This window comes from Homo sapiens, chromosome 1 (assembly GCF_000001405.40).
Source record: "Homo sapiens chromosome 1, GRCh38.p14 Primary Assembly".
Lineage (NCBI taxonomy): Eukaryota > Metazoa > Chordata > Mammalia > Primates > Hominidae > Homo > Homo sapiens.
Window position 1 is genome coordinate 167854963 of NC_000001.11, and position 19120 is coordinate 167874082.

Consider the following 19120-nt stretch of genomic DNA (forward strand, 5'->3'; position numbering starts at 1 on the left):
GATGGGCTGTAAACAGCCAGCTAAAGAAAAAACATTCTCTATGTTGTTAAGGTGACTGCTGTCAGGACGCCAGGAGAGCCAGGCTCGGTGGCTCACGCCTGTAATCCCAGCACTTTGGGAGGCCGAGGAGGGCGGAGCATCTGAGCTCAGGATTTCAAGACCAGCCTGACCAATATGGAGAAACCTCATCTCTACTAAAAATACAAAATTAGCTGGGCGTAGTGGGGCATGCCTGCAATCCCAGCTACTCGGGAGGCTGAGGCAGAAGAATCGCTTGAACCCGGGAGGTGGAGGTTGCGGTGAGCCGAGATCGTGCCATTGCACTCCAGCCTGGGCAATGAGAGCGAAACTAGGTCTAAAAAACAAAAAACAAACAAACAAACAAACAAACAAAAAACAAAGAAAACCCCAGGAGAGGAATCACTGAAAAGCTCAGAGAGCACTCACCAGTGAGTCAGCTTTCCACATCTGCCATAGACAGAGAACACCAATACCAGACCACACCATTGCCAGCCAGGTAAGACCTTGCTTAGTGGCAGGTCATGGTCTTTAACGCTTACCAGTTTGCCTTTCCTGTCACTTGCCCATAACAATGCTCTTAGTCACTGCAGGTTAAAGTGAGTATACCCATACCCCCCATGATGAAAGGGAAATAGAGCTTTTCACTAAGCAAAGTTTAAGAAGGCGTAACAGGGAGGCAACATGGAAAAGGTGAGCAACATCCATCCTACCAAGCATTATGAATGGCTCCTTCAAAAGGTGGACCAGACCAAGCATGGTGGCTCACACCTGTAATCCCAGCATTTTGGGAGGCTGAGATGGGAGGATTGCTTGAGCCCAGGAGTTCATGATCAGCCTGGGCAACACTGTGAGACCCCATCTCTACAGAAATAAAAAATTTACCGGAGGTGCACACCTGTAGTTCTGGTACTCAGAAAGCTGAGGCAGGAGGATGGCTTGAGCCCAGGAGGTCAAGGCTGCAGTGAGCCATGATGGCACCACTACACTTCAGCCTGGGTGACAGAGTAAGACCCTGTCTCAAAAGAAAACAGAAAAAAAGAAAAGAAAAATTTTTTAAAAGGTGGGGCCAGGAAAGATACTGAAATAGGCACATCAAGACACATACTAAGAAATCTGATGAAGTCTAGACCGAGGGAATGTATGCAGATGTCGAGAGTTCAGAATAGAAAGAGGTTACTTACGAGTCCAGTTCTTTGGAGATGCAGCTCACATTGAGGTCAAGACAGATCTTGTTGGAGATGTCGTTAGGCTGTACTGCACCAATGACAATGTAGGTGGTGTTCCTGTTCTTTATTACGGCCCTGGCAGCTGCACAGGGAATGTTAACGAAGGGACACAGGGACATAATGATGAAGATAGGAAGAGTCCGGATAAGCTTCTCCATAAATCTCCAGGAGGTCGAATCCACAAACTGGGCCTCATCAATGATAAAAATAATCCTTTCCTCTTTCACTATCTGGACAAGATGCAGAAAGAGAAAGAGAAACACCATAGGACGTCAGGTTTTTTTACACATGTATGGGTATGCATATGTATCCATTGAGCTTCCTGGTTTGCTTATGATGCAGCGAAAGAACTAAGTTCAATCTTTTCTTTCCAGTAACTTTGCATTCATTTATATTCCATTAACTTAGAATTTGTGGCTATTTGGACAGAGCTGGCTGGAATGGACTCTTACTTGGTCAAAGCTTTGTGTAAAGATAGTGCAAATTTGGAGAATAGATGGAGTTTTAGGGGTACCCACAAAAGCTAACTGAAGTGCCCATTACATAAAAATAACTGGTTTGTTAATTATGAGTCATTTTAATCTATTGAACAATACAGTTGTCCTGGGGAAATCTACTTGACATTTATTCAACCAGCATATATTCAGCACATGCTTACTGAGCACCCCCTGGGCTAGGTGCTGAACAAAACTAGTCCTCGCCCTGCTGGCAGCCGATGCTATTCTAGCTTGAAATGTGGTATGTGTTGCACTTAAAAAACAGATCACAGGTCCCTTTTCTCATATAGACTACCCTCCCCTAAGTAGTCTGAATTATTTATTCACTCATTAAGCATTTATTGTGCATCTATCAGGGTCAGGTGCTGTTCTAGGTACTGGGAATACAGTCTCAAACAAAATACGGAGCCTACATTTTAGCGTCAACCACTTACGTAGCAGGCTCTGCCTTACCACTGTGTAAGGTGTCACAATGCAGAAAACCGGCTCCCCAGTTCTCACTGCTCCAGACTGCTAATGGCTGCTTTTTGTTTCCCTCTGAGAAGAGATTGAGTTAACCCATTCTTTCTCTTTGTGCTTGACAGTCATTATAAAGTGTTATAACCTGCCTTGTTCACACATACCTAAGTCTACTCCTGCAGCCCCGTTCTGTCACCAAATACTTAGCCCTTTGACTAGCCCTGAGAACAGTTTAATTAATGAGGAGGTAAGCACTACATTGTTTTGAGTTTGACTGGTATCTTTAAAAAGATGGGGCAGATAGAAATTTAAGTTTTAATCTTGGGATAGCCTTGTTAATGAATTATTCATAAATTGAAGAGAATAAAGCAGGAACAAAAAATCATGAATTCAATAATAAAACATTGGCCTGGTTTCTTCTAATCTAAAATGAGGATTGGGTTCTTTTTAAAGTGAAAAAAAGCCAACACTTACATTATACTTACTATGTTCCAAGTACTGCGGGATGCTCTTTACATAATTAACTCACTTAATCCTCACAACATCCATATAAAGTGGTACTATTGAATCTATTTGCTGAGAAAATTTGGGCACAGAGAAGTTAAGTAACTTGCCCAGGGTCACACAGATAGTTAATGGTCCAAAGACTTGTCAGTACATAATCAAACACAGCTTTGGTAGCAGTTTCCAAACAAGATTCTGCTTCAGCACCAACTGAAAAGTTTTAAAACAAAAGCAAACAACTAAACAGGTTCCTAGGCCCAATCCACATCCTACTTTTTTAATCTTTAGAGTTAGAACTCACAAATCCATATTTTTAAAGGAGCTTCTTGTAAATACTTGTGATGCAAACAGTCTAAGCCCTGACACTTAGAAACTACTGATATTGTCTTGCCTATGACCTGAAGTACAAAAGAAGAAAGCTGTATTATAAATATAATACAATGCCACCAACTTATATCGATCATTTATTATGTACAATTATGAGGCACATTTCTCATCAATAGTGATATGGAAATGTTAAGAGACTCTCTGTTCTTAAGAAGCTCACAGGCCAGGTGTGGTGGCTCACACCTGTAATCCCAGCACTTTGGGAGGCTGAGATGGGCGGATCACAAGGTCAGGAGTTTGAGAACAGCCTGGCCAACATACTGAAACCCCATTTCTACTAAAAATACAAAAATTAGCTAGGTGTGGTGGTGCGTGCCTGTAGTCCCAGCTAGTCGGGAGGCTGAGGCAGGAGAATCGCTTGAACCTGGGAGGTGGAGGTCTCAGTGAGCCGAGACCGCACCATTGCACTCCAGCCTGGGCGACAGAGCGAGACTCTGTCTCAAAAAAAAAAAAAAAAAAAAAAAAAGAGGCTCACGATTTCCTGAGGGAGAGAGAAACAGATATATAAGTAATGAATGGCAATATGCCATAATAGTATAGAGTGTATAGTATAACTAGAAATGTGTTCACAGCCTTACAGAAGCCTGGTGGAAGAAGAATTAGTCATGTCTAGTGATCTGGGGAAGTTCTCACCAAAGAGGTGACATTGAAAGATGAGCACCATTTCTCTAGGTTAAAAAAAATCTTTTGGCTTTTATCTTATTACCACTGGGACTTATTTCGAGAGTATAAAGTATGGGTTGGTGTGATTTGCATATACTCTGAGAATTATATGAAGGATGAATTGAAGCAGAGAGGTGTGAAGCACAGAGTTTTTTGGAAAGCTATGGAAATAGTCCAGGAAAAAATGATAAGAGCCTGAACTATGGCAATAGGAAGGGAGGACAAGGAGATTCCAGAGACTGAGGTAAAAATAGTAGGACTTGGCAGTGAGTAAATGCGGGAATGTGGGCAAAAAAGAAGGCAAGGATAACTTTAAATGATACAGAATGGCATAATTTGCTACTAATGAAATCAAGGATCAGGATCAGGATGAGGAAGAAAGGGCACTATAGTAAAAAAATGAATTTGGCATTAGACACTCAACTCAGCGTGAGTCACTACATCCAAGTGGAATATATACAAGGCTCTTAGGAATATGGTTTTGGTGTTTATAAGAGAGGTGGGGACTGAAATATAAATTTGGTGATCAATATATAGCAGACAGTCGTGATATTACTGGGAGAGAGCTAACACTTGTTGAGTGTTTCTTATGAAAGAGACACTGTTCTAAGTGTTTCTACATATAATCTAGTCATTTAAACTTACATCCCAGTGAGCTACGTACTATTATTTTCCTCCATTTGATAGATGATAAAGCAGAAACATAGAGAGGGTAAGTCACTGCTTGAGGTTGCTCAGGTAGCAAGTGATAGGCCTGGGGGTTCAAACCTCAGTGGTCTGACGACAGAGCCTGCATATGTAACCACTTTGGTACATTATATCTCAACAAAGGATGAAAAAATGAGTGCTGAGAGAGGCCAGACTCCTAGGAGTAATGTTAAGGGACTCTTTTCAAGGCATCTAAATTCTAAACAGACCTTTTGCTTGAGGTTTGGAAGGATGGAGGAGAATGAAGCACTTTAGGACAAAGCCTTCACATCCTTCAAAAGCCTCTTGCCAATGTGGTCTGAACTCCTCAAACCACCTGGCTTTGTGGTGATTTGCCCAGTTTTCTTCCCCCTACTTCTTGACCCACAGATGCTCTTACCAGCTTCAAGATCTTCATAAACAATATTTCCAATTGTTTTTGCTTTTTCAAGGTGCTCATCCTGGAAATCTCCCGAGAAATAGGGAACTGTACAAAGAATTATGAGAATATTGAGTATGGGAAAATAGCAAAGGGAACTACTGGCTATGCAACTTTGGGCAAAACACTTAACTATTCTGTGTCTTAAAATCCTCATGTGTTAGATAAGTGGTCCCAACCTTTTTGGCACCAGGGACTAGTTTTGTGGAAAACAATTTTTTCATGAACTGCGGCAGAGGGGATGATTTTAGGATGATTCAGGTGCATTACATTTATTGTGCACTTTGCTTCTATTATTACATTGTAATATATAATGAAATAATTATACAACTCACCATAATGTAGATAGAATCAGTGGGAGCCCTGAGCTTGTTTCCTTGCAACTAGATGGTCCCATCTGAGGGTGATGGAAGCCAGTGACAGATCATCAGGCATTAGATTCTCATAAGGAGCATGCAACCTAGGTCCCTTGCATGCACAGTTCACAATAGGGTTCAGGCTCCTATGAGAATCTAATGCTGCTGCTGATCTGACAAGAGGAGGAGCTTAGGTGGTAATGTGAGCAATGGGGAGTGGCTATAAATAGAGATGAAGCTTCACTTGCTCACCCACTGGTTGCCTCCTGCTGTGTGGTCTGGTTTCTAACAGGCCATGAACTAGTACCAGGGGTTGAGGACCCCTGTGTTAGATAATTCAGGAAAAGACAGGGCACAGTCTGCACTGGCATCACTTGTAGGAACAGAGTGACTTTGTGTCCCAGAGTAGCTAGTATAGCTATGATAGAAAGGTAAGAAAAAAATTAGTCAGCAGATGGCCATTTGGATTTTCTTGAGTATGATATTTCAAGATACCTCTAATATGTCAAGAATGTTGATGCACATCCAGAGAGGATTGGGAGCCATTTACTCACCATCTGGATACTGCAGATATACAGACCAAAGAGATGCTAAGTCACAATGCACCAGAGAGGAGTTGCTGTGCCTGCCCATGGCTATTTGTGCAGAAGTATAATACTAGCTAGTTACCTGAACATGGAAAATGTCATTAAGAAGACAGTAGAACTTTTCATCCAACAGTGTCATGACTTTATTTCGAAGGTTGGTCTGTCGTTCTTTATAATGTTTACAAGTGTCTAGGCCTAGGACATTGGCCATGAACATCTGGATGGTATAGAAAGTTTGATGGAAGCTGATCTTATTCAATGAAATGGCAATAATCCTGTTTGTGAGAAAATCAAGAAACAGAAGAGAGTTTTTAAATATATATTTTTGAAAATAATAGAGGTTGAAGGAAAGCTCTGTCTTCTCATATTCAGCTATAATGATGGAGATTTTCCAAGCTATCTCGCAATGGTTCTTTATTGCTGCTTCTGATATACTCCCTCTTCTCCTGTTCCTAAGCCCTGATTAATTTAACCTAGCTAATTCTCTCCTTTCTAGTCCTACTGCCACCCTATACTACCACAATAGCAAGCCACTACCCCCATCCAGGTCATGACCCTCTGACTGGGAGCTCCCATTGCCTAACGGCATGAACCCAGGCCTCCTTTATGTGACACACAAGACTTTCCAAAGCCTCATTCTATCCTTTCTTGCCACTCTCTGCCTAGCAATCTACCCTTCACCAACAGCAAGCAGGTGAGAGTTCCCTGCACACCCAGAGCTATTTCTCCTCTCCATGCCTTTGCTTATGCTGTCTCCTCAGCCCAGAGTGCTATGGCTTCTCATTGCCCCTCATTTGAGGTTCATCTCAAGTCTCAGCTCAGGTGTAGCCTCCTGGAAACTGTCATCAATGTCCTAAGGTTGACTACATACCCTTTCTTCTCTGAACTTCCACAATTCTCTATTGCATGACTCTATCGTTGCCCTCACTATATTCAACTTTTAATGCTATCTGATATGGTTTGGCTCTGTGTCCTCACCCAAATCTCATCCCGTATTGCAACCCCCGAGTGTCAGGGGAGAGACCTGTTGGGAAGTGATTGGATCATGAGGGCGGTTCCCCCCATGCTGTTCTCATGATAGTGAGGGAGTTCTCATGAGATTTGATGGTTTAAAAGTTTGGCACTTCCTCCCTTGCTCGCTCTCTCCTGCCACCATGTAAGACATGCCTTGCTTCCCCTTTGCCTTCTGTCATGATTATAATTTTCCTGAGGCCTCCCTAGCCATGTGGAACTGTGAGTCAATGAAACCTCTTTTCTTTATAAATTACCCAGTCTCAGGTAGTTCTTTATAGCAGCGTGAAAACGACTAACACATTATCTCTCTCCTCCTCTTCTGTGAGAGCTCCTTGAGGGCAGAGAGCAGACTTTATTGATATTCAGGGCTTTGGCACTTGTTGACACATGTCCCCACAATTCATATGTTAAATTCTTAGCCTCTAGGGCCTCAAAGTGTGACCTTATTTGAAAAGAGAGTCGTTGCAGATACAATTAGTTAAGATGAGATCATGCTAGAGTAGGGTAGGCCTCTAATCCAATAAAACTGATGCCCTTATAAAAAGGAGAAATTTGGACACAAACAACACACAGGGAGAATGCCATGTGACATGAAGGCAGAGATTAGGGTGACGCTTCTACAAGCCATCTTTGGAACACCAAAGATGGCCAGCAACCACCAGAAGCTAGCAGGTGGGCATGAAACAGATTCTTCCTCATGGTCCAGAGAAGAAAAGATGCCTTGATCTCAGACTCCTACCCCTGAGAACTATGAGACAAATTTCTGTTGTAAGCCATCCATTTGTAGTACTTTTTTACAGAGGCCCCGGCTAGTGAATACAGCACTTAGTAGTTCCTGAACATAGTAGGAATTCAATTAATGATTGAATACATGAATAAACAAATGTCTTCTGACTGTTGTGAATTATCCCTTCAGCAATGATAAAGATATTTTAAAACTGGCCTTTCTCAGGCCTAACTTTAATGTGGGATAGAGATACAGCTAAGAATATTATAAGATTAACAAGCATTTTCCCCTCACACTGTTTAGGTTAGGTGGGGAAGGGATATGAGTCACCATCATTATTGTCCTGGTCATCACCACTGTTATTGAATACCATACTATCTACTTCCATGAGGAAGTAGAATGGATTGTCCCAAAGATAGCCCTCATAATATTCCTTATATGAAAATAAATAAACAACATGAGACAAGTATATTAGATCTGTCTTCCAGGGAAAAATCCAAAGACCTCTTATTCTCTATCTCCAGTCTTAGGACTAAATGGTTTGAACTAGTGATTCCCTGTTGAGGGAAGAGACAGACCCTCTCATATTGTTTTATACTCAGAAAAGGAAAGAAAAGTGAAATTAAAGGCAGATAGCCCGGCGCCTAGGAACCAGACCCGAAACCAGGCCTGGGCCTGCCTGACCTAAGCTCGGTAGTTAAAATTCGACCCCTGACCTAGCAACTGTTGTTATCTATAGATTCCAGACATTGTATGGAAGGGCATTGTATGGAAGGACATTGTGAAATCTCTCGTTCTGTTCTGTTTCACTGTGACCACCGGTGCTCACAGCCCCTGTCACGTACCCCCTGGCTTACTCAATCGATCACGACCCTCTCATGCGGACCCCCTTAGAGTTGTGAGCCCTTAAAAGGGACAGAAGTTGAGCATCAGACGAGCTCGGATTTTGAGACGCTAGCCTGCCGATTCTCCCAGCTGATTAAAGCCACTCCCTTCACTATCTCGGTGTCTGAGGGGTTTTGTCTGCGGCTCATCCTGCTACATTTCTTGGTTCCCTGACCGGGAAGCAAGGTGATTAACAGATGGTCGAGGCAGCTCCTTAGGCGGCTTTAGCCTGCCCTGTGGAACATCCCTGCTGGGGACTCCAACCAGCCAGAGTGACGCGGATCCTGAGAGCTCTCCTGGGTAGGCATTTGCCCCGGTGGGACACCTCGCCAGAGCAGTGTGTGGCAGGCCCCCGTGGAGGATCAACAGAGTGGCTGAACACCGGGAAGGAATTGGCACTTGGAGTCCGGACAACTAAAACTTGGTAAGACTAGTCTTTGGAACTTGCCCACTCCATTTGAGTGGAAGCATGGCCTGATCACCCACGGCGTGCCTTTATCAGCACTTGGTTTTGGTTTTGACTTGGTTTGAATTACTTGACAGGACTGGTCTTGGGAACTTGCCCACTCCATTCCCACTCCATTTGAGTGGAAGCATGGCCTGATCTGATCACCCACGGTGTGCCTGTTCCGGCACTTTGGTTTTTGTTTTTGACTTGACTTAGATTGCTTGATACTTTGGTTTTGGTTTTGACCTGGCTTGGATTTCTGAATACTCTGATTTTGGTTTTGATTTTGGTTTAGTGTAAACTGCAAAAGTGTGTGCGTGCCCTTTTTACCCGTTCTTTGTTTTGTGGTGTGCATGTGGTGTGAGAGTGGTGTTTTGTCTCGAAGAAACATGGGTCAGGCACAAATAAGCCCACCCTACTAGAAACTATGTTGAAAAATTTCAAGAAAGGATTTAAGGGAGATTACGGTGTTACTATGACACTAGAAAAACTTAGAACTTTGTGTAAAATAGACTGGCCAACATTAGAGGTGGGTTGGCCATCAGAAGGAAGCCTAGACAGGTCCCTTGTTTCAAATGTATGGCACAAGGTAACCTGTAAGCCAAGGCACACAGACCAGTTTCTGTACGTAGACAATTACAGCTGGTTTTAGACCCCCTTCGCCCCCACAGTAGTTAAGAGAGGCAGAAAGAGAGGAAGAAACAGAGGCAAAAGGAAAGTCAAAGAGAGAGAGAGGGAGAGAGAGAGACAGAAAGTCAAAGAGAGAAAGAAAAATAGAGAGAAATATCCAAGTAGTTAAGAAAAAAATAGTGTACCCTATTCCCTTTAAAAGCCAAGGTAAATTTAAAACCTAAAATTGATAATTAAAGGTATTCTCCGTAACCCTGTAACACTCTAATACCACTTTGTTGTTAGTGTAAACAAGGGCGTATCCCGAAAGCACTGAGGCCTTCCTATCAAAAATCCTTAACCCAGTAACCCACGGATGGCCCAGATGCATTCAATCTGTAGCAGCAGCTGCTTTGCTAACAGGAAAAAAAAAAAAAAAGAGCTGTGGGAAGGCAAAATTTATGTAAAAAGAGTGTTATATGGTAAATTCTTGTCTTGAAATAAATTAACTGTTGTTTAAAGAAAGAAATATTTGTAATAAGTCAGAAAGTTGAGACATGTCAAAGAATTATCTGCGAAAGTCATAGAAAACGATGTTATAAAAAATTTATGCAAAAAATATTGTATAATTTGAAAGTAATAAGGCCTCCTGAGTACTATTGAAGAAACAGTTTATGTGCAAGGTGCATAAGAAAAGTAAAATATACTTTTGGTAAAAAGATTAGAAGGAGGCATAAGAATGTGGATTTTTACCTACATTAAAAGGTTAAAAAAATTATTGTTTTGAAAGTTTAAGCAAGTTTTAAAATGTTAATTGTAAAAAAAAATTCTGTGTGTAAACTAATTAGCTAAAGATAAAAAGGTATCATCCAGTTTTTCTGTGAACTGGACATTAAAGTAAAAATGCAACAGGTTTTTCTTGAAGCACCAACCTGCTCTTTAACAAAAATTATAAAAGGTTAAAAAGAGTCTGTAAAAACTTACCTTATGGTCAAACATGAAAAATTGGATAAATATGTCTATGAGGTTTTATTAAAATTAAGTTTAACATTAATAACACACTAATATAAAGGTAAAATTTAGCTTATCTGGTATAAAAATCATACAAGAAGTATTATTAAATATAAAATGGTGTTTAGCTTTCTTTGGTCTAAAAACTAATAAAAATAGGTCCTAAAGGAAACATTCATTTTACTAGAGGATCATAGAAGTTAAAGACTTAAAACAAACTTTGGCAATTAAGACAGCATACCAAGATGCAAATGCCTGGTTGAAATGGATCAAATATTCCATCTGCACATTAAACAAAAGCAGTTGTTATGCTTGTGCACATGGCAGGCCAGAGGCCCTCATTGTCCCCCTTCCACTAAAGTGGTCCTCCAGTCCACCAGGCGTGGGCTGCATGGTAGCTCTTTTCCAGGATTCTACAGCCTGGAGTAATAAGTCATGCCAAACTCTCTCTGCTATCCCTGTGGGTCAGCCCCCGAGGGCCATCCAGCCTCCGTCTCCCAACACTAAGTTCACTTCATGTCTCTCACCACAGAGAGGAAACTTAGGATTCCTTGGAGACCTGAAGTGATGCAATGAGCTTAAGAATTTTCAAGAGCTTATCAATCAGTCAGCCCTTGTTCATCCCCAAGCGGATGTGTGGTGGTATTGTGGTGGACCTTTACTGGGCACTCTGCCGAATAACTGGAGTGGCACTTATACTTTAGTCCAGTTGGCTATCCCTTTCACCCTGGCATTTCATCAACAAGAGGGAGGAAAAATAAGACATCGTAAAGCGAGAGAAGCCCCCTTATAGGTCTTTCGACTCTCACGTCCATTTAGACGCAATTGGAGTCCCACGAGGAATACCAGATCAATTTAAAGCTTGAAATCAAATAGCTACAAAATTTAAGTCAATATTTTAGTGAGTGATGTTAATAAAAATGTAAATTAGATAAATTATATCTATTACAAACAACAGCAACAAGCTTTTCATGAGTTGAAAGAAAAACTCAGGTCGGCCCCAGCCCTGGGGCTACCTGACCTGACGAAAGTGCACACTCTATGTGCCAAAAAAAAAAAAAAAAAAAAAGGGCCATCTATACCAATTCTAAGTTAATTTAGACTAAACAAGGTCTTACTCATAGCAAAGGATAATTGAAATCCCAAACTTACAAGGTTTTCAACAAAAGTAAAGTTTGCTAAAAGTTAACAGTGTAACATGTATTATAGTAACTTCTAATCTTGTGGCCTTAGACAGTCTAGTCCACAGATATAAAGAAAGTTCACTTAAAAAAAAAAAAAAAAGAATGGTTATCTTCAAAAAAAAAAAATGGCAGTTGGAGTTTTAACCCAGACTGTAGGGCTCTGGCCAAGGCCAGTGGCCTATCTCTCAAAACAACTAGATGGGGTTTCCAAAGGCTGGCCCCCATATCTAAGGGCCCTGGCAGCAACGGCCCTGTTAGCACAAGAAGCAGATAAGCTAACTCTTAGGCAAAACCTAAACATAAAGTCCCCCCCATGCTGTGGTGACTTTAATCAGTACCAAAGGACATCATTAGCTAATGAATGCTAGACTAACTAGATACCAAAGCTTGCTCTGTGAAAATCCCCACATAACCATTGAAGTTTGCAACACCCTAAACCCCGCCACCTTGCTCCTGGTATCAGAGAGCCCAGTTAAACATAACTGTGTAGAAGTGTTGGACTCAGTTTATTCTAGTGGGCCCAACCTCCAAAACCATCCTTAAACATCAGTAAACTGGGAGCTGTACGTGGATGGGAGCAGCTTCACCAACCTCTGCAAAGTGACTCAGAAAAAGCCCTGCTCCAGTCACACCCGGAAGCTGACTGGTCCACGCACGGCCGAAGCATGAGAAAACTCATCACGGGACTCATTTTCCTTAAAATTTGGACTTGTACAGTAAGGACTTCAACTGACCTTCCTCAGACTGAGAACTGTTCCCAGTATATACATCAAGTCACTGAGGTAGGACAAAAGATTGCTACAGTCCTATTATTTCATGGTTATTATAAGTGTACGAGGACTCTAAAAGAAACTTGTTTGTATAATGCTATTCTATCCAAGGTATGTAGCCTAGGAAATAACCAACCTGATGTGTGTTATGACCCATTTTAAGCCTCCAATGATCACAGTTTTTTAAAATAAATTAAGGACTGGTCCTTTTCTAGGTGACACAAGTAAAGTAATAGCTAAGACAGAAGAAAGAGGGATCCCCAAGCATGTAACACTAAAATTTAATGCTTGTGCCACTATCAATAGCAATCGGCATAGAATAAGATGCGGTTCTTTAAACTGAAAAAAAAAAAAGTTACACAGCAGGAAATAAGTATATCTGCCACGAATTAAGCTCATGTGCAAATGTGTGTAATTACTGGTCTTGTGTCATCTAGGCTACTTAGAAAAAGGATGAAAAAGACCCTGTTTAGCTCCAAAAAGGAGAAGGCAGCCCCTCCTGTACGAGTGGAAGCTGCAACCCCTTGAAATTAGTAATTACAAATCCCTTAAACCCAAGGTAGAAAAAAAGAAGTACACGTATCTCTGGGCGTCGATAAAAAAGGACTAGATCCTAGAGTAAATACCTTAGTAAAAGAGGAGGTTCGTAAACTCTCTCCGGAACCAGTATTTCAGACTTTCTATGATTAACTAAATGTGCCAGTACCAGAGACTCCAGGAAAAACCAGAAATTTGTTTTTGCAATTAGCCGAGCATGTAGCCCAGTCTCTAAATGTCACCTCATGTTACGTTTGTGGAGAAACTGTAATAAGAGATCAATGGCATAAGAAGCCCGAGAATTAGTGCCTACAGACCCAGTTCCTGATGAATTCCCGGCCCAAAAGAATCACCCTGATCATTTCTAGGTTCTAAAAGTCTCAATTATTAGACAATATTGCATAGCTGAAAAAAGGAAAGAATTCACTCATCCTGTAGGATGACTTAGTTGCCTAGGACAAAAACTGTATAATGGTACCACAAAAACAGTTACATGGTGGAGTTCAAACCACACAGATAAAAATCCATTCAGTAAATTTCCAAAGTTGCAGACCGTTTAAGCCCACCCAGAATTCCACCGGGACTAGACAGCCCCCCACTAGGCTATACTGGATACGTGGACATAGAACCTACGCTAAGCTGCCTGACCAGTGGACAGGTAGTTGTGTTATTGGCACTATTAAACCATCTTTCTTCCTACTGCCCATACAAATAGGCGAACTCCTGGGCTTCCCTGTCTATGCTTTCCGCGAAAAGCGAAACATAGCCATAGATAATTAAAAAGATGATGAATGACCACCTAAAAAATTATACAATACTATAGGCCTGCCACTTAGACACAAGATGGCTCATGGGTATACCAGACCCCCATTTACATGCTCAACTGAATCATACGGTTGCAAGCTGTTTTAGAAATCATCACTAATAAAACCAGTCAAGCCTTGACTATTCTGGCCCGGCAAGAAACTCAGATAAGAAATGCTATCTATCAAAATAGATTGGCTCTCGACTACTTCTAGCAGCTGAAAGAGAGGTCTATAAAAATTTAACCTTACTAATTACTGTCTACACATAGATAATCAAAGGCAAGTAGTTAAAGACGTAGTTAAAGACATAGTTAAAAACATGACAAAACTGGCACATATGCCCGTACGAGTGTAGCACGGATTCGACCCTGAAGCCATGTTTAGAAGGTGGTTCCCAGCACTAGGAGGATTTAAAACTCTTATATAGGAGTTATAATAGTAATAGAAACCTGCTTACTGCTCCCTTGCTTGCTGCCTGTACTTCTTCAAATGATAAAAAGCTTCATTGCTACCTTAGTTCACCAAAATGCCTCAACACAAGTGTACTATATGAATCACTATCAATCTATTGCACAAGAAGGCATAAGTGGCAAAAATAAGAGTGAGAACTCCCACTAATAAAAAGTGAGAGTCTCAAACGGGGGAAATGAGGGAAGAGAGAGACCCTCTCATATTGTTTTATATTGTTTTATACTCAGAAAAGGACAGAGAAGCGAAACTAAAGGCAGGTAGCCCGGCGCCTAAGAACCAGACCCGAAACCAGGCCTGGGCCTGCCTGACCTAAGCCTGGTAGTTAAAATTCGACCCCTGACCTAGCAACTGTTGTTATCTATAGATTCCACACATTGTATGGAAGGACATTGTGAAATCTCTCGTTCTGTTCTGTTTCACTGTGACCACCAGTGCTCACAGCCCCTGTCACGTACCCCCTGGCTTACTCAATCGATCACGACCCTCTCATGCAGACCCCCTTAGAGTTGTGAGCCCTTAAAAGGGCAGAAGTTGAGCACCTTGACGAGCTCGGATTTTGAGACGCTAGCCTGCCGATTCTCCCAGCTGATTAAAGCCACTCCCTTCACTATCTCGGTGTCTGAGGGGTTTTGTCTGCAGCTGGTCCTGCTACACTGTCAGCTAGCTGGATAAACTTAAGTGTTTGTTCTGCAGACCAAATCTAGCCTTGATCTCAACATCTATGCCAATTGTTCTCGATCTGTCTGAATATTGGGATTACTTAGGAAACTTTAAATAACCAAGCCCTTCCTGGCATTAAATCAGGATATCCATGGGTCAGCCCAGTTTCTCTTTTTCTTAGCTCTATGTGTTTATTGTTAGTTATCTATTTAGCACAAGGGTCATGGCATCCAATAATTGTAGGTTATAGATAATTTACATAAGGCAAGTTATAGGAAGGAGAGGAGCATCAAAATAAATCAGGATTCTATGGGTTCACACAGAACAATCATTCCAAGACACTCACCTGTGATTCTTACCTTGGGCCAGGTACTCAATTTTCATAAGTATCTGGCTTTTTCCATATCCTGGTAATCCCTCATACATTAAGACTTGGCTGCTGTTAGATATCAAAAATTTCTTCATAGTATACATGAAGTAGTTGATCTCTTTATTACGTCCTGTTATTTTTAGTTTTAAAAAAGAGCAAACTCAATCAACGTAAAATAGTCTAGAGATATAAAAAGTCACATAGAAACCCTCCTTCTAAAAATATCCTTGGGCCAGGCGCTGTGGCTCACTCCTGTAATCCCAGCACTTTGGGAGGCCGAGGTGGGCGGATCTGCTGAGGTCAGGAGTTCGTGACCAGCCTGGCCAACATGATGAAACCCTGCCTCTACTGAAAATACAAAAAAAAAAAAAAAAAAAAATTAGCCAGACTTGGTGGCGGGTGCCTGTAGTCCCAGCTACTCAGGAGGCTGAGGTAAGAGAATTGCTTGAACCCAGGAGGCGGAGGTTGCAGCGAGCCGGGATCCTGCCATTGCACTCCAGCCTGGGCGACAAGCAAAACTCCATCTAAAAAAAAAAAAAAAAACTTGGAATTTCCATGGCATTGTTCACAGACTTTCTTCAAGCCTTATGCACTTTCAAAATTGTTTAAATCTTCCTGGGAGCTTTTTAGCTAACCATGTGGTTTTGCAGTTTCATTTGATTAGAAGCTGTGAGAGAAAGTATTCTTATAATCCTCATTATAATGTTTAATTATAGTGTAGAAAACTGAGATTTGCTTAGATTACACAACCAGGAATTAAGCCAAGGCTATCTAACCCTAAAGCTTGTTTTTTTTTGTTTTTTGTTTTTTGTTTTTATTCAACACACTAGAAGTAATATGTAGACTATTACATTAGGAAATAAATTTATTAAAGTTAGTTTTCCTACATTAAACAATTATGGATAAAATATTTTTATTTCTGATTCTGTGATAAAGGAAATTTGCCCTCTGTAAATGAAGATTATACTTAATTCAGGGCTACAAAAAGCATTACCAGGGATAAAATTCAATTTGCCTTCAGAAATCATGTACAGATTATTTCTATCATAAGAGCAACTTAAATTCTTAGTGAAAATAGATTATAGGTTTTTTCTGATTATAAAACTAACATATGCTTGCTGTAGAAAATATGGAAAACTTGGAAAAGAAAAAAATAAAAATCACCTTGGGTTACAACCCTTATTTTTCTTGTGTGTTTTTAAATACTGTAACAGCCCTGGGTGAAATCTGAAACCCTGCTGTAAGGAGCTGTAAGAATTGTAATTTCTAAGCAGTGAGCAATTTCTGTCAAAAAAGTTGGAGACTCATTGAGAGCTAACTATTCCTTCTGTGCTGGGCAGATGAATGTGGAGGCCCATTTTGTTATTCACTGATAGAACAAATAAATATCCAGGTATTATCTAATGTCTTTGTTGAAGGACCATTAATTCAAGTGTAGACATTTAATAAAAAGAAGCTAAGTGCTTTGCTTGGTAATATACATTTCTGAGTATGGCTTAGTGAGAACTACTTAGCAGACTGTATTGCTTCTTTTGGGTGAAATATTCCCTTTCTGAAAATGCATTTGAACCTCAATTTCGTGAGATGTTTTGTGTTTTTCTTTGGCCTGAATGAAGCTCACATAGGAACTTAGAAGATGAGGCTTCAAAGGCTGCATAGCTGCACACCAACATGGCACATGTATACATATGTAACAAACCTGCACGTTGTGCATTGTGTACCCTAGAACTTAAAGTATAATAATAAAAAATAAATAAATAAAAAATAATAAAGTTTCCAGGCTGGGAGCGGTGGCTCACGCCTGTAATCCCAGCACTTTGGGAGGCCGAGGCGGGTGGATCCCCTGAGGTCAGGAGTTCGAGACCAGCCTCAACATGGAGAAACCCCGTCTCTATTAAAAATACAAAATTAGCCGGGCGTGGTGGTGCATGCCTGTAATCCCAGCTACTCAGGAGGCTGAGGCAGGAGAATTGCTTGAACCTGGGAGGCGGAGGTTACAGTAAGCCGAGATGGCGCCATTGCACTCCAGCCTGGGCAACAAGAGCAAAACTCCATCTCAAAAAAAATAAAGTTTCCTAAGGAAGCTTAAAAAAAAAAAAAGCCTGCATAGCTGACTCTTCCAGCTCCCTGTGTTCTATTCATACAGAACACCTACTGGTAGAACCTTATGGAGTATCTTTAGCTGGATTCTAAAATGAGATTGTCTCCTTAACTTGAAATGCATGCACCTTGTTTCTATCTAAGCAAAGCCTCAATATCGGGGACTGTTGTATGCAGTTTTTACCCTAAAAAGCCACTATTTATTTATTATAGTTTTGTTGTCAACCATGCTGTTGCAATTTCATTTATAGCAGCCCTTGTAAAAGAAGGGCATTTCCCATGCTGCTAGCCTCTGACAATCTGTGTTTGGTTATAGCTTGAAGGAAAGGTATGTGGACCTGATCTTTATGTCATACTGGTGGAATCAGTGCAAAAGGGCAACTAGATCAGACTGAGAAATATACACATAGGCTGCACGCAGTGGCTCACGTCTGTAATCCCAGCACTTTGGGAGGCCAAGGCGGGCAGATCACGAGATCAGGAGTTCAAGACCAGCCTGGCCAATATGGTGAAACCCCGTCTCTACTAAAAATACAAAAATTAGCTGGGTGTGGTGGTGTGCACCTGTAATCCCAGCTACTTGGGAAGCTGAGGCAGAAGAATCGCTTGAACCCGGGACGCAGAGGTTGTAGTGAGCTGAGATCGCGCCACTGCACTCCAGCCTGGGCGACAGAGTGAGACTCTGTCTCAAAAGAAAAAAAAAAGAAATATCCACATAATGTGTTCTAATGTGACTGTCATGTTGGGTCTGCAATCTTGTAGAAAGAAGGTTAGGATTCTGTTGCTGTCAGTTAGTAAAATAAGTATATCCTAGGATGAAAAGTAAGGCCTCTGAGGAGGGTGAGAGTGGGTATTCCTTCTCTCTAGCTTCAGGAGTTTTGGAATCTGGACTTAAATGAAGTGATTGGCTTGAAGACCCTGAAAACTACCTGAAAGCAGTGAAAGTGAGGCATTTCTGCTGGCCCAAGTGTTTTTTTGCAGTTCTGGAACTGTTGCCCTCCTTCAGGCTCTGCTGACACCAAGATTGTGGCCCAATATTTCTCCAAAGTGTGAGACAGAGCCTCCTCTTAATTGCCTTGACACAGTTAGGACCAAGATTTAACTTATGATAAGACTTTTGGGGATGTTCGTGTCTGACAGAAGGAAATTACAAGTGCTACTAGAAGTGGCTGCCTTCAGAATCCACAGGTCAATCTTCTTTGGGTCTCTTCTCTTATAGGTATATCCCTTCCTCATTTTAGGTCTACTCCCCTGTCTAATCTCGAGTTATCTTTCTTACAATAAGGTCCCTATCACCAGGAATCACAAAAATATCAATTCCAAATGGATTGTAGACTTAAATATAAAAGGTAAAAACAAAATTTCTGAAAAAAATGCTAGAAAAATATCTCCATGATTTTTGGGTAAGGAAAGGTATCTCAAATAGTATACAGAAGCACTAACTATAAAAGACAGGTAAATTTGATTACATTAAAGTTAAGAATTCTGTTTATTAAATGCATAATTGAGAGTAAAAAGGCAAACACAGAGTGGGAAAAGTGATATACAGTAGAAACAAATGACAAAGGACCCATCTCTAGAATGTGTAAATAATTCCAAAAGATAATCAAAATATAACCCAGTTGAAAAATAGGTGAAAAATTGTACAGGTACTTTAAAAAAATGTCTGGGCTGGGCACAGTGGCTCACGCCTGTAATCCCA

At 41.1% G+C, this 19120-nt stretch overlaps 2 protein-coding genes across 12 annotated transcripts in view, besides 3 other annotated features; one reads left to right on the top strand and one right to left on the bottom strand.

Moving 5' to 3' along the window:
- ADCY10 (adenylate cyclase 10) overlaps positions 1–19120 on the bottom strand; it is a 104749-nt gene that overhangs the window by 45577 nt on the left and 40052 nt on the right. For all 11 annotated transcript variants that reach the window (NM_001167749.3, XM_011509762.4, XM_011509763.4 and 8 more), the window contains 4 exons: positions 15295–15448; positions 5909–6101; positions 4845–4931; positions 1203–1477 (listed from right to left, as the gene is read on the bottom strand). In NM_001167749.3, coding sequence (NP_001161221.1) covers positions 1203–1477; positions 4845–4931; positions 5909–6101; positions 15295–15448 — 709 coding nt within the window. The remainder of the gene's footprint in view (positions 1–1202; positions 1478–4844; positions 4932–5908; positions 6102–15294; positions 15449–19120) is intronic.
- Positions 6379–6895: an enhancer, noted in NCBI's record as "NANOG-H3K27ac hESC enhancer chr1:167830579-167831095 (GRCh37/hg19 assembly coordinates)". NCBI's record gives its function as "activates a minimal SCP1, AML or CMV promoter by ChIP-STARR-seq in naive H9 embryonic stem cells {active_cell/tissue: H9 hESC(naive)}" and the evidence as "EXISTENCE:reporter gene assay evidence [ECO:0000049][PMID:30033119]".
- Positions 6896–7413: an enhancer, noted in NCBI's record as "NANOG-H3K27ac hESC enhancer chr1:167831096-167831613 (GRCh37/hg19 assembly coordinates)". NCBI's record gives its function as "activates a minimal SCP1, AML or CMV promoter by ChIP-STARR-seq in naive H9 embryonic stem cells {active_cell/tissue: H9 hESC(naive)}" and the evidence as "EXISTENCE:reporter gene assay evidence [ECO:0000049][PMID:30033119]".
- Positions 8614–19120, top strand: part of DCAF6 (DDB1 and CUL4 associated factor 6) — a 212261-nt gene continuing 201754 nt past the window's right edge. The window contains exon 1 of the mRNA XM_047425194.1: positions 8614–8876. The gene's annotated coding sequence lies outside the window, so the exon portion shown is untranslated. The remainder of the gene's footprint in view (positions 8877–19120) is intronic.
- Positions 14769–15063: a silencer, noted in NCBI's record as "tiled region #4419; K562 Repressive DNase matched - State 5:Enh". NCBI's record gives its function as "represses a minimal TATA promoter and a strong SV40 promoter by Sharpr-MPRA in K562 cells {active_cell/tissue: K562}" and the evidence as "EXISTENCE:reporter gene assay evidence [ECO:0000049][PMID:27701403]".